This window comes from Homo sapiens, chromosome 11, assembly GCF_000001405.40.
Source record: "Homo sapiens chromosome 11, GRCh38.p14 Primary Assembly".
NCBI lineage: Eukaryota > Metazoa > Chordata > Mammalia > Primates > Hominidae > Homo > Homo sapiens.
In genome coordinates, this window is record NC_000011.10 from 74,953,263 (window position 1) to 74,969,062 (window position 15,800).

Genomic DNA, 15,800 nt, shown 5'->3' on the forward strand with positions numbered 1-15,800 from the left:
ACTCACTGCAACCCCCGCCTCCCAGGTTCAAACAATTCTCCTGCCTCAGTCTCCCGAGTAGCTGGGATTACAGGCATGTGCCTCCATACCCGGCTAATTTTTGTATATTTAGTAGAGACAGGGTTTCACCATGTTGGCCAGGCTGGTCTCAAACTCCTGACCTCAGGTGATCCAACGGCCTCGGCCTCCCAAAGTGCGGGGTTTACAAGCGTGCGCCACCACACCCAGCCTAATATAATTTATTTAATTTGATGTGTCTTGATTTGGGCGGGGAGGGTTTTTATTTTATTTCTGCAGCTGTAGTTTCACTTGCCATAAAGAAGTGTAATAAAGAGATGCAAATATGCTCCTAGTTTTCCCTAAGCAGATGTGAATTTCTACTCTTATGAAACTGACTTTAAGAACACAGCAATTCTTGTTTCCTGATCTTAAAAATAAGTATGCAAATATAATCTTTCCGCCTCCATCACAGAATAACTTGACTTAGATCATTGCAGTATGTTATTTTGCCCCAAATACATCAAAGCATTTTCTTCTGCCTGGCAGTTATAAAGAAAAGCTGCTTGCTTAATTTGTTTTGGCTATTAAAGTTGATATGTGGTGTTAAACCATGCTTTCCAGAAGCTATTATCTAGACCCTTTTAGCCTTATACCTGGATTTCTGTCTCCTGGCTGGCCTGTCAGCCTGATCTTAAAGCACAGCTTTAATCTGTTTACATCAGACTCCTTTGAGAATTAGTTAAAATTAACAGATTTTTGGACCTTTTTTTAGGCCTGAATATCTGCATTTTTCTTCACATGTCTCTATTACCTCTGCATTTTAACAGTTACCTCCAGGTTGAGAACTACTGGCTTAAATGATTTTTTAAAGTCTCTTCTGGTTCTGACATTTTAAGGTTTTTGTTTTGTTTTTAAAAGCTATTCTGCTTAATAGTGGTTTCTTTAAAATGTTTATAATGAAGAGATCCTGAAACTCATATGATACTTCAGCCTCATTTTGTAGACAAGGACACAAGCAAAGCAACTTGCCCAAGACCACACAGTGAATTAGTAACACTTACAGAACCTGGCTCCCCCAGTGCTTAATCCAGTGCTCTTTCTTTACTCAGCACATTGCTTCCCATACCAGAGTGTGCCTTGTGCTATCTAATGTGCTAGCTAACGTAGTAGTGGGATGAGCATCTGTTGTGAGGTGGAAGACCTAGGCTGTGGCCTTGGCTTTGTCACCCACCAACCATATGTCCTTAGGTATCTCCTCTTTTACTCTACTGGAAGATATCTTAGCTTGTCAGACTTCCAGGTGATATGCTTGTGCCCTGTTACCTAGCTCTGACAAAGAAGATGAACGGTTTTATAACATTACTATAATTGTGTGTGTGTGTTTAATGAAACAAGGTGCTGGCCTTTTAATACTGTTGCAAACTGATCTTTATTAGCGTCTCAAAACTCATTATTTTTTATTTCCTCAAAATAAAAAGTATGTGTGTGTCAAAGGCCACTATCAAGAAAGTGAAAAAAGACAATCTACAGAATGAGAGAAAACATTTTCAAATCATATATCTGATAAGGGTCTAGCATCTAGACTATATAAAGAATTTTACAACTCAGTAATAAAAAGACAGCAACCTAGTTTTTAAAAGGGCAAAAGATGTAAATAGACATTTCTCCATAGAAGACGTACGAATGGCCCATAGCACATGGAAAGATGCGCAACATCATCAGTCATTAGAGAAATGCAAAGTAAAACCACAATGAGAAACCACTTCACGTCCACTAAGATTGCTATAATAAAGGGGGAAAAAAAAGGAAAATAACCTGTTTTGGTGAGAATATGGAGAAATCAGAATCTTCATATATCGCTAACAGGGATGTAAAATGTGGTGGCACTCTTGGAAACAGTTTGACAGTTCCTCAGAAAATTCAACGTAAAGTTAACCATATGACCCAACAATTCCACTCCTAGGTGTATACCCAAGAGAACTGAAAATGTGTGTCCACAGGAAAACTTGGCACACAAATGTTCATAACACAGTTATCATAATGGCCTAAAGGTAGAAACAGTCTGTCAGCTGATGAATGGATAAATGCAATGTGATATATCTATACAATGGAATATAATTTGACCGTTAGAATAAAGTATTGATACATACTACAATATGGATGAATCCTGAAAATGCGCTAAGTGAAAGAAACCGATCACAAAAGGCCATATATAGTATGACTGCATTTGTATATCCATAGAGACAGAAAGTAGATTGTTGGCTGCCCGGGGATAGGGGACAGGAATAAGATGTGACTGCTAATGGGTATGGAGTTTCTTTTTGAGGGTATGCATATATTCTAGAATTAGATAGTGGTGATGGTTGCATAACCTTGTGAGTATACTAAAAACCACTGAATTGGCATTATTTTTAAATAGTGAATTTTATAGTGTGTGAACTATATCGCAATTTTAGAAACTTATTTTTGTCTTTCCTGGAGTAACCCTTAAAGTTTCAAATTATTATTTCTTTAAACTATATGTCATGTAACACAGTGGTATCACAGACACTGATTACTTTAATACTATTACTTTAATTACTAATTAAAATATATATATATATATATATATATATATATATATATCTGCCTGCCTAGGTACCTTTTTCAGCTGTTGCTAGCACCATTTCTCTGCTCTGATCTCCATCTTATCAAATTTCAATAGTAGTTTTTTATATTACTTAGCCTTTCAGTAGCATTTGACTTATTGATCACTTCTTTTTTCTTGAAATACTTTCTTTACTTGGCTTCTAGGACACCACTTGCCCCCAGCTTTCCTCCTACGTCAACTAGTCTTTGTTGTCTTCATTGTTCTTTGGTCTTCTTCCTGACCTGTGTAAATATTGCCAGTCCCTGAGCTTATGAGCTTATTACCCCTGGCCCTCTCCTCTGTCTACCCTCATCCCAAGGTGATACCCAATGTCATGACTTAAATAACATGTAGAAGTTGCTGACTTCTACATTTATATTCTCAACCTGGACCTTTCCTATAAGTCCCAGACTTTTCTGTCCAACCGCCTACTTGTCATCTCCACTTAAATGTCTAAAACATGTATCAGGCATCAATAGCCAGAGCCAATCTCTTGATTTCCGCTTACCCCTCAAAGTGCTTCTCTCCCAGTCTTCTTCATTTCAGGTAGATACCTCCATTCATCTAATTTATTCAAACAAAAACCTGAGAGTTACCCTTGATTCTTCTCTTTGCTTTGTACTCCACAGCCATCTCATTGTCGTATTTTCCTGGCTGTACATCCAGAATCTGACCACTCCTACCTAGAGAGCTGTAGTAGCCCTTTCAACTGGTCTTCCAGCTTCCGTGCTTGGCTCCGTTACATTTTGTTCTCCACACAGCAGCCAGACTGATGTTTTAAAACATAGATCACTCACTCTCTTGCTGAATCTCTCCAGTAACTTCCCATCTCAGTTAGCTAAACTCCAAATCCCTAATTGTGGCCTATTTTATAGCCCCTGCATGTTCTTGATCCTGCTTGTTTCTGTCATCCTCATCTGTCAGTTTCTGCTTGAGTCATTATACTCTGGAAACCCTGGCTTTTCTGCTGTTCCTCAAACACGTTAAGCTTGGGGGATTTTGGTGTACTGTTTTCACTGGGACACTCCAGATTTTCTCATGGGTTACTCCTTTATTCAACTCTGCTCAGATGTTAACTATTTTCCCTCACTATTTTTTAGTCTTTTTAAAAACTCTATTGCATTTTTCTGTATAATCTTTTTTAGAGCCTGGAATTATATGCGTATTTGTTTACTTTTTATCTTCCATACAAGAAGAAGCTCTTTGAGTGCAGAATTTGTCTTGTTTATGACTATATCCCTAGTGGCTAGAACAGTGCTTGGCACATAGCAAGCAGCCATTCAATATTAATTTAAAGAAAATAAAGAGTGTAATTGCCATAAAGGTTGTGTTTAAAAATATTATTTTTTTCTTTTAAAAGAATGTCCAACACTGGAATGAATTGCTATTGAGAGGCTTGGCAGTTTCCTTAAAAAGAAAAAGAAACCCAGAAAAGTCATATAACAGTTAATATTTTTCCAGGCAGTAGGAGATGGATTTCAGATGAAACGGCTGTATGGTCCTCTCCCTGAATTTGCACTCAGCTGCATTTTTCAGAACTGATTGCATGTAATTCTTAAATGGAGCACGTGATCTGCCACCTTTCTAGAATAAGGACTCATCGCACATCTGTATCAATGTAGTACATTCCTAGCCAGTCTTCGTGCCTTAATTCAGGTCTTCCTTGGCAGCATCCCTCTCTCTTCCAACCCTCCCCAGTCAGCTTTGCTGCAGATTGATATCCCTGAGGAAATAGGTAACATTTTATCCAAAATCTTTTTTGCAGATCCTTGAACTTGTAGTGTGCCCTTGCCCCTCTATGTCTACTTCTTACCATTTAGCACTTAGCATAGTTTATAATTCATTGTAAGTATAGGATTTTCCTTAACTAAATTGTAAAGACCATTTTTTTTGTATATCTGATTTCTTGTCTACCCATTGCAAAGGTAAGAAATTCATACTGGATGATTATGCCAACAATTCAGTCAGACTTTAGAAGATGTTAGTTGCTAGTAGTGAAAGGATTGTTGACTACATTTCAGTTTGCTGGTAGAAAAAAATACTTCGTTGTTGGAGCATTACTGATTAATATGCTGAATCAAGTTGTTTTAACTTTAAGCTCTTTTCAGCCTTAGATCTCACACTTACTGGGTTCAGTGGTGGGATGTTTAAGTCATGGATCCAGTGATCTGGCCCTCAAAGAGCTTCAGTCATGTAGGCTTCTCTATTCATGGGCTGGGTTGATGTAGAAGCAGCCCCGTCACTGCTAAATGCAGTTTGTGGTGGAGTAGAGAAGGCAGTGTAAAACCTAAGAATCAGTTTCTCTGGGGTTGTCACTAATGTGTGTGCTCATAATTTAATTAACACATGGTAATTTCCTAACTTCTAACTCCAGTGATGAATGCAGTCAGTAATAAGCACTGTTAAGCTAGTAATTTTCTTTGCAGTGTATCTTGGCCATTTTTATAAAAAATAGATTGAAATTGAAGATTCAGTGTGTTGCTAAGAGCATAATCTCTTTGAGATACCATGTTTTTGCTGAATTGGGATCTAAATTAGATGACAGTGCACATTCTTAAGATAGACATCATTTTCTTCCCAAACTGAACATTTTCCTTTCTTGCTAAATATGTGTGTGTGGGGGGGATATAGGCACTATATATTTCCAACTGAAATTGTAATCTCAGCTTCTGAGTTTGCCATCAGTTTTTATTATCTCCTTATTTTAGTTTAGAACTCCACATATACAAATGGGTATTTATCCTTTTTCCTCCTGTATTCTTCTTCTTGGAAAATGACATGATGGCTCCAACAAGTCATCCAAGCCCTAATTCTAGTAGGTGGTCATCTCTGTCTCTTCTCTTTCATGTTCCTTATAACTAGTCTGTTACTAAGTCCTGCCAATTCTACCTCAGAATACTCCCTTTCAGTCCCCCTACTGCTGCTCTGTTGAGCATTGAGGCTCTGCACTTACATCAGGCCCCATCTGCATCTCTATGTCCAGTGTTACTCCCCTCCAGATCATCTGCCAGGTTGCCACTAAAATGACTTAAAAAAAAAACGTAAATTTGATTGTTATTCCCATGCTTAAAATACTCTCCATTGCCTGCTTCAGAATAAAGTTCAAGTTCTTTAGCCTAATAACTAGGAAATGGTTTCTCTCGGATGCCTCATCTCCTACTACTTTCCCCCTTTGCAGCTTCTGTCTACTTTCTAAACTGGGATAAAGGAGAGAAAAAGTTTATTTTTCTTAAAGCCATGCTCAGTTCTGTCTAAATCAGAACAGGGTCACCATTGACACCACTCTCACCCTTGGTAATTCTTCATCTCTCCAGTGTGAATTGAGGAATCCTTTGAGTCTTATTATCAAGCCAGGGAACTTTATGAAGCAATCCACTCAGGTCTTTTATATCACTGCATAACTTCTGTTTTCACTGTGATTAAAATAAGATAATTGAAGGTGTTCATGTGTCATACTCAAAACAATTTTGTTTTGCTGGACATATCCTAATGACCAAGGATTTTGTCCTTTTGTTTTTTGAGATGGATTCTCACTCTATTGTCCAGGCTGGAGTGCAGTGGCACAATCACGGCTCACTGCAGCCTATACCTCCTGAGCTCAAGCCATCTTCCTGCCTCTGTCTCCCAAGTAGCTGGGACTTTAGGTGGGCACCACCACACCTGGCTAATTTTTTAAATTACATTTTTTTGTAGATACGGAGGAGTCTTGCTATGTTGCCCAGGCTGATCTCAGACTCCTGAACTCAAGCGATCCTTCCACCTTGGCCTCCCAAAGTGCTGAAGTTATAAACATGTTGCCACTGTGCCTGGCTTATTTTGTCTCTTTTTTTGATCCCACCCTATCCCTTTGAGTGTGGTGAGATGCATGGGAACAGAAGGCTGTATTCCCTCAAATGAGTTAATTTGGAAAATGCCTTCCTGTACTGACTACATATCCTTCAGACCTGAGTTGTGTTTAATATCCTTCCTAAGCACTTATGGAGTTCCTGATGCCATACCTTCAGTGAAGTGTCTTTGTAGAATTTTTTATTATTCAAATGTGCAGTGGAGAAACGTAACTGAAATGATTCTTCATAATGTTCTATTAAAGCTATCAAATGCCTGTTTTCTTTGAACTGGTTAGCCAGCCAGCTCTGGCATCAGGTGTGTTAGTCTGACAAAAGTTGTCTTTATCTTGGCCGGGTGTGGTGGCACTTTGGGAGGCTGAGGTACGTGGATCACTTGAGGCCAGGAGTTCGAGACTAGCCTGGCCAACATGGTGAAACCCCATCTCTATTAAAAAATACAAAAATTAGCTGACTGTGATGACACTTGTCTGTAATCCCAGCTACTCGGGAGGCTGAGGCATGAGAATTGCTTGAACCCAGGAGGCGGAGGTTACAGTGAGCTGAGATCGCGCCACTGCGCTCAGCCTGGGTGACAGAGTAAGACTCTGTCTCAAAAAAAAGTTGTCTTTATCTCTTCAGTGGGTGGTGTAGGGGAGTAATTTCTTTAAGATAGTACTTTTTGAGCTCTGTTTTCAGCCAAATTGCAGTTGGTTTTACATTGGGGGGGGAGGTTCAACATTTTTGATACCCTGTGAGTTTTGTGGTCCTATTCAAGATTAACATCTTTTTTTTTTTTTTAGGTTTTTAAAATGTTATTACTAGAGCTTGTTAGGAATCAAGATACAATGTATAGCTGTCACTTCAGGGATCTCTTTGTTTCCTGTTCTTTGTGTTTTTGATGGCTAATAATTCCTTTCCTTGCACTTCATGGGAAAGCAGTGTAGAATAATGAGAGAGCATGGGTTTTGAGTCCTGGCTTTACCACTTTCTGCCTTTCACCTTTGGCAGGTTTTTTAAACCCTTAGTGTTATCTGTAAAAGGAGGATTTTAACTGTTCTTACCTTGTAGAGTTATTGTGGAAATTAAGTGAGATAGTGTATATAAAATACTTAGCACATCCGTAGCACATGTTAGGCATTCAGGAAATGGTAGCTATGATTATACCTTCTGTCTGCCCTCCATCCCTTAAAGAAATTCTGTGAATAAGAACCAAGTGAGATCATTTTGACCATGTTTACATTTGCTAAATTTAAACTGGAGAGTAACATTTTAGAGATCTTTTTCTTCCCTTTTTTTCTTTATAAGGATTTAGACATTAAAAAAAAAAAAAAGCTATTGAGAGTATATTGTGTTCCAGGCTCTGAGAATACAAAAGTGTATAGTCCCTGTGACCCAGTGAGGGAGACAATACATACAGTCAGGTAACCATGATGCAGTGTATTATATAGTTTTATATCATTAATAGCAACAGCAATAGCTAATTTTTATGAAGTACTTGCTAGGTACCAGGCACTGTGCACTGTGCTATGTTTTATAATTACACTATTTACTTCTCATACCAACCTGTGAAATAGATACTTTCACCATCTTAATTTTACAATTTAGCAAACTAATAAGGCTTTAGAGAGGTTAAATTATTTGCCCAGTGCCTTCCAGTATTAAGTGGAAAAGTGAGGATTAAAATAAAGTAGCCTGACTCCATTCTCCCTTGGATAATAAGGATTCACCTTATTGGGTAAGGAAAAAAAGCATTTGCCTACATACATTTGTATTTAGTCTAAATCCAGTCAGCTTGTTTTTTGTTGTTGTTGTTGTTTGTTTGTTTGTTTGTTTGTTTTTTGAGATGGAGTCTTCCTCTGTTCACCCAGGCTAGAGTGCAATGGCACCATCTCGGCTCACTGCAACCTCTGCCTCCTGGATTCAAGTGATCTCTTGCCTCAGCCTCCCAAGTAGCTGGGATTACTTAGCCTGGCTAAGTTTTGTACTTTTAGTAGAGATGGGGTTTCACAATGTTGGCCAGGCTGGTCTCGGACTCCTAACCTCAAATGATCCATCTGCCTCAGCCTCCCAAAGTGCTGGGATTATAGGTGTGAGCCACTGCACCTGACCAGAACCAATCAGCTTGTGATTTGAAGTACAGTACACCTTTAAGAATAAGGCCACAATCTGCTTTGGGATTGAGTTCAGGGATTAAGGCAAATAAAAATAAGTTTATATCACTGAAGAAGAGACAGTTTTATAATGAGCCATGTATTTGTAATTTAGCCCTAAAGAATTTTGTTGGCCTGTCATTTACTATTTGTATGGCACTTAACATCTTTGAACTCTAGTTTTCTAATCTGAAGGACATTGGTTTCTGGATTGAGGGTCTGCTTAGTGCTGCAATAAAAAGATGAGTGGCAATAGCAGTTTTACAGTGGGTGAAAATTGACCTGTGTAAGGGATATCATCTTGAAATTTTAGATACTGGCAACATAAAGAACTTTTTCTAGATTTCCAGAAGGAAAGGTGTTCAACATAAATCACATCATTTATACAAACAGTTGAGGCACAGTGAGCCATTCTTATCACTGAGGGAATGTATTTATATCAGTGTAGGGATTTGTTTTATCAGCCAGCTTGTCAGATACCAGCCAAGGGCCAACCTTGCAAACAAGCCTTGCTAAAGATGGCAGTCTTGGACCCAGGTTCACTTATTTCTGCACACTGCCCTTCTTTTTAATTTATCCTGTGAGGTCCCACATAAAAGAAACTAATTTTTGCTTTCTCTTTTTATTATTACAAAAGGAAAGCAATTTGCAATTAGTGTTGAGGAAGACAAAATTGAGGCAAAAAAAAAAAAAAGATAGCTTTTAAAATACCCGAATTAGTAGTAGAGAGAACATGAGGAGCAGCATACATTTTAGTTGATGAGCAGTTTTTGAGCATGATGAGAAGTAATAATCAGAAAAAGAAGCACCTAATAGCAACTCCCCTTCTTCCAGATGGTTCTCCATACTGTAGTAGAGACATTACTTGCTTCGAAATGGGCTGTGTTGCCGTAAAGTCAAATTATAACCTTTCTTGTGATTTCATGTAATTCACTGGAAATGTTTCTTTTCCACTTACTGAAGATTGCTTCTAGGTACCAGGCAGTGAAGTTAGAGCTGAGGCTATTTCAATACATTGTAATGGCTGCTTCTGCATTTTATTCTCCCAAATTGGTTAAGACATTATCCTCTGACTTTTAAAGGCAAGTTTCTTTTCTGTGATGCAATGCAGGCAGTGAAGTGTGGCTAGGTGTCTGAGAATATGATTTTCCTGTTTTTGAATGACCCATAATTTTTAAATGACTTTATTCTGACTTTATTTCACAAATAATTCAAATGCTATGGTGGATTTGGCTCTACAAGTTGGTTCTTTTGCATGTCTTCAAAGAGGGATTTACTTGACAGTGTAAATGAGCTATCTAGCTAGAAAACCTGCTAATTTCTTTTTGGTTCAGTTTGTATCTTTAAAATTAGATGTCGTGTTTGATTTGTAGGCTGGCAGTCTATGGCAGTCAATAGTGCAGTATGCTGCCATGAGTAATTTTCTCAAAGAAAAATTTTTGCTTTTACAGGGCACCAAGGGGGAAAAAAAACTTGATTGACTTTTAATCACTTTAAGTATGGCTATTTTTAGCTCATGTTATTTCTTCTAACAAACTTCACAGAACAGGTTTTCTCTTTTGTGTAATAATATATAGAATCACAGTTAAAAAAAAAACAAGGTTGATGAATTGTATTTCTGTAGTTGTTTAAAATCTTTACAATTATTTTTATCCCATCTCTTATTTTATTTTTTATTGTTTGTTTGTTTGTTTGTTTGTTTATTTATTTATTTATTTATTTTCAGAGACAAGCTCTCACTATATTGCCCAGGCTGGACTCGAGCTCCTGGGCTCAAGCTGTTCTGCCACCTCAGCCTCCCAAGTATCTGGGATGGCAGGTACTCACCACTGCCATCTCTTTATTTCTTATAGGCATTATCTTTGTACTTGTGCTCAATCCGAAAGATAAATATGACATTCTCTGTCTTTCAGTAAAATAATCCATTCTAAATCCAGATGAACGTTGGATTGCTTGCTGGTTTGTAATTTTTATGGAATACAATATTTGTTCACTTGATCTAAAAAATTAAGAGTTGGCCATTAATGGTCTACAAAAAACAGGTTTGTCAGATTATTTGTAGCACCCTGTTCCTCTTAAGCTATATTTACTTAAATACTTGCATTTGAGAAAATTTTTTACTATGTAATATATTCACATGGTTAAAAAATTTTAAAGGCACACATAGAGTAATCTTACTCCTCCCCGTATTTCTCTACCCTGATAAGATATCTGGATGTACCGTAGTTTGTTTAACCAATCCCCTTGTAAATGAGCACTCGAGTTACCTCCAGCTTTTCACTATTACAGACAATGCTGCAGTGAGTAGCCTTGTATTTCATTTCACATGTATTCAGTTATAGAAACATTCCTGGAAGTGGGAAGTTGAATTCAGGGTGCTAAGTTGGCATTCGTAGGTGCTGTAACATTTTGAACTTCTACATGAGCAGTGAGAGAATTATTTGCTTCTGAATAGCAGTGTTTGGGAAACTTTCTAAACCTCTATAGATAAGGGAAATAGAAGTAGAGTTTGTCCACTCAACTCGTGTTGGGACTGAGTCTGGGACTTGGTTTGTAATTTAAAATGTAGTGTTGTTTCCAACAGGCTATCCTGGAATTGCTATCTTAAAGTTAAGACATGCTGGTAAAATAATAAAAGTTGTTAGCTGACAAAGTGATATTAAAGGAGATCCTCCCCATTTTGTTAGTATCTGTAAATTCATGTATCTGTATTTTCTGAGTTTTGTGGTCACAGAAAGAAAGAATGAACAAATAGAGTAATTTTCTGTACTCACATTTCGGTAAAATGAAGGTGGGATATACAAGTTTACACTTACAGTCTGTGCAGCCCATATACGTTTTCTGGTTCTGGGGTTGTTTTTATATTCTCTGCATGGAGACTGGCAACATCAGCATCACATGAGTACCACCTGACTCTAGTGACCTAGTCTCTTTCAACCTGATTTTTAATTGTTTGGTCTTTTTTGTTTGTTTTTAACTGCTTCTTGCAGGGCTACCCCATAGGAGTGTGCCCAGAATAGCCTGTTTTGTCTTTTAGTTCTGCAACATCAGAAGACAAAGAGTAAATATTATATGTGCATGAGGGATGCTCTTAAAAAATGGTTCATTTTACTTTCAGTAAGAGGCCAGGTTTCTTGATGCACAACTTTTTTGTTTGTTTTACAGTGGAAGATAGATGATAAGCCTGTAAAAATTGACAAGTGGGATGGATCAGCTGTGAAAAACTCTTTGGATGATTCTGCCAAAAAGGTACTTTCTTGAGGAGGGGTTGGTTAGTATCTATACAGCTGATGGCCATCTCTCCTGGGAAATCTTTTCCTTTTGTAACTTGGAGTGACCTTAGTTTTCAGTGTTAGAAATTAAGTCAGAAAGCAGTTTCTAAAATTTCTCACAGAAAAAGTCAGAGGAAGTGTGTTGAAATATCACCAACATGGCACATGTATACATATGTAACAAACCTGCACGTTGTGCACATGTACCCTAAAACTTAAAGTATAATAATAATAAAATTAAAAAAAAAAGAAATATAGATGTTGGCTATCTCAAGAAAGCTGGTAATTTTTTGTTTTTGAGATTAATTAGCCTAGAGCACAGAAGGGTGAGAGAAGATAGGACATTCATTCATGATAAATCATCTCTCCATTTGTAAAAGTAAAACATTTTAGCTGTGGGAAAAGTTGAGGAGTTTAAAGTTTTTTATATGAGGGATTGATGAACTTTTTCTCTTGGTTCTTTATAGAAGGCTTGAGTTTTACTTGTTTGGTGTGGTAAAATCCCAACTGGAGGGAACTACTTGGTAATTCATATGATTCTTTTATCATGGAAATCAAGAATAAAAGCACATACTGGGGAGGAAGTATTCCTATTAGCTTGATTCCTTGTTTTTCTCACCAGGTACTTCTGGAAAAATACAAATATGTGGAGAATTTTGGTCTAATTGATGGTCGCCTCACCATCTGTACAATCTCCTGTTTCTTTGCCATAGTGGCTTTGATTTGGGATTATATGCACCCCTTTCCAGAGTCCAAACCCGTTTTGGCTTTGTGTGTCATATCATATCCTTTATTTATGCTCAGGTTGTTTTCTAGTGACTATTTTTTTAAATCTGCTGATATTTCTCCCTACAAAAAACAAAACGGACTTTCATATTAGGGCTTGCTAATGTTAGAATTCAACATTTTGAGCTGTGATGTTTATATAGTAAATATCTATCAGTTTATATAGTAACTGTCACTGATATTTTATGTTTTGTATGGTTATTTTATCGTAATTCATTTTTGTTATTAATGTAGAGGTTATTGTCCTAATATGAGCACTTAATAGCAAAACACATAGTAATAGTGAACCCAGCTCTTCTCATTTCTAGCCCAGAACTTTTCCCGTTAGACGTGGCTGCTTCAAGCCACTCATTCTAGGATATTAGGAAAGGATCTGATTTTGGAGACTCAGATCTGTATTAAGTTTACTTGAAGCTGAGGAGCTGAACTGGAAAGTACTGAGCATGAGATACAAGTGTGGCTTGTATTACAGTGGAATTAAGAACTTATTCTGGAGCTAGAGAATATGGGTTTGAAATCCAAGGTATCTGTGATCTTGTGCTAATGAAAATTTACTTATTTTTGAGATGATTTGAATACCACTCATTTATAAATATGGGTAGCATTCAGAATTATCATAAAGATTAAATGAGAGATTTTATATTGTATTTGATACATAATCATTTCCTTTCCCCTCTTTTTTATGATAAATGTAAGATCATGGTCGTTGCCTACCCAGCGTGATTTTTTTTCTCAAGAAGTTGAATATAAAGAACTTAATTATACTTCACTATTAAAATAGGTAATTTTGGTTGGTAGTTTACTTTTTTAAACAATGTTACCACTACCTAAATTTTGTTTTGTTTTCTTTTTTTTGAGACAGGGTCTTACCGTGTCACCCAGGCTGAAGTACAGTGGTGTGATCATGACTCACTGCAGCGTCAGCCTCCTGGCTCGAGCAATTCTCCCACCTCAACCTCCTGAGTAGACGGGCACATGCCACCATGTCTGCCTAATTTTTAAATTTTTTACAGAGACAAGGTCCTACTACGTTGCCTAGGCTGGTCTCAAAACTCCTGGGCCCAAGCAATCCTCCCAAAGTGCTGGGATTACAGGCATAAGCCACTGTGCCCAGCCAACCTGAAATATGTTTTAAAACTTCATGTTGGGGATTTATCTTCAGAGGCAGTTAGCAAACCTCTGATAAAGCAGATCCTAGTCAAAAATTGTATTATCCAGATTGCCCCACATTTCCCCCAGAAGTGGCACCAGGTGATCCTTGACTCCTTTCAGTAATCAGATTAATCATCCCAGTATGAATTTTTCACTATTAAGGCAGTTCAGAAGAATAATATTCCATAGGTTCTAGAGACAGTTCCCAGGGGAATTCCAAAGAGATTTGAAAATGATAGCAACATTATTACAAATATCTGGCCTCCCAAGAGAACTACCTTGATGGTAATTCATTTGTTTGGTTATATTTGTTTAATAAAACAAGGTCTTATTTTTGTCATGTCAGTTTTATTTATAATGTAGGGACTACCATTATAAATGTCTTCTGTTGCTGGGCATCGTGGCTCATGCCTGTAATCCCAACACTTTGAGAGGCCAAGGCGGGCGAATCACTTGAGCCCAAGAGTTCAAGGCCAGCCTGAGCAACTTGGAGAAATCTGTCACTACTAAAAATACAAAAATTAGCTGGGCATGGTGGCGCATGCCTGTAGTCCCAGATAGTTGGGAGGCTGAGGCACAAGAATCACTTGAATCCAGGGGGCGGAAGTCACAGTGAGCCGAGATCTGCTACTGCACTCCAGCCTGGGCGATAGAGCAAGACTCTGTCTCAAAATAAATAAATTAATTAGATAAAATAAAAAATAAATTAGCTGGGTGTAGTGGCACACACCTATAATCCCAGCTACTGAGGAAGCTGAGATGGGAGGATTGCTTGAGCCTGGGATGTTGAGGCTGCAGTGAGCTGAGATCATGCCACTGTACTCTAGCCTGGGTGACAGAGTGAGACCCTGTCTCAAAAAAAAAAGTCTTCTGTATCCTAGACTGCATATATCCTTCATCTCTAAATCTCATGATAATTCTAAAACATCAGTATTATCCCAATTTTAAAGGTAAGGATACTAAGACTTGGGGAAGGAAGTTATTTGTTACAATCATACTGATTAAAGGCCAAGATTTAAATCTAGGATTATCTCTACTCTAAAGTCCATATACTTTGTACTATATTTTCCTGCCTTTCCTGTTCATGAAATTTATCTATTTTTTAACTCTTCTTTAATGGAATGCTTCATGAATTTGCCTGTCATCCTTGTGCTAGGGCCATGCTAACCTCTGTATCGTTCTAATTTTAGTATATGTGCTGCCGAAGCGAGCACTGTTCATGAAATTTATTTTTATTTTATTTATTTTATTTTTATTTTTTGATACAGGGTCTCACTCTGTTGCCCAGGCTGGAGTGCAGTGGCACGATCTTGCCTCACTATAGCCTCTGCCTCCCAGGTTCAAGTGATTCTCCTGCCTCAGCCACACAAGTAGCTGGGATTACGGGCCTGCACCACTACATCCAGCTAATTTTTTTTTGGTTTTTGTGGGTTTTTTTTGTTTTTTTTTTTTTTTGAGACAGAGTCTTGCTGTGTCACACAGGCTGGAGCACAGTGGCACGATCTCGGCTCACTGCAACCCTGCAACCTCTGCTTCCTGGGTTCAAGCCATTCTCATGCCTCAGCCTCCTGAGTAGCAGGACTACAGGCATGTACCACCATGCCCAGCTAATTTTTGTATTTTTGGTAGAGACATGGGGTTTCACCATGTTGGCCAGGCTCATCTCGAACTCCTGACCTCAAGTGATCTGCCCACCTCAGCCTCCCAAAGTGCTGGGATTACAGGTGTGAGCCACCACGCCTAGCCTTAATTTTTGTATTTTTAGTAGAAATGGGGTCTCCCATTGTTCCTTGTTGGCCAGGCTGGTTTCAAACTCCAGGTCTCAAGCAATCCACCTGCCTCGGCCTCCCAGAGTGCTGGTATTAAAGGTGTGAGCCATCGTGCCCAGCCTTGTTTATGAAATTTAAATGGCACAGTATACACAAAGCTCTTATGCCAGTTTTTGGCAAACTATAAGTGCTTATTAACTATGGTACTTAATACT

The 15,800-nt window shown here is 38.1% G+C and overlaps 1 protein-coding gene and 1 pseudogene across 1 annotated transcript in view; one reads left to right on the forward strand and one right to left on the reverse strand.

Moving 5' to 3' along the window:
- The window catches only part of SPCS2 (signal peptidase complex subunit 2), a 29,768-nt gene that overhangs the window by 3,997 nt on the left and 9,971 nt on the right, over positions 1–15,800 (forward strand). Inside the window, exons 2-3 of the mRNA NM_014752.3 lie at positions 11,772–11,855; positions 12,501–12,661. Of these exons, the coding sequence (NP_055567.2) occupies positions 11,772–11,855; positions 12,501–12,661 (245 nt within the window). The remainder of the gene's footprint in view (positions 1–11,771; positions 11,856–12,500; positions 12,662–15,800) is intronic.
- On the reverse strand, positions 14,933–15,030 carry RNU6-216P (RNA, U6 small nuclear 216, pseudogene; annotated as a pseudogene).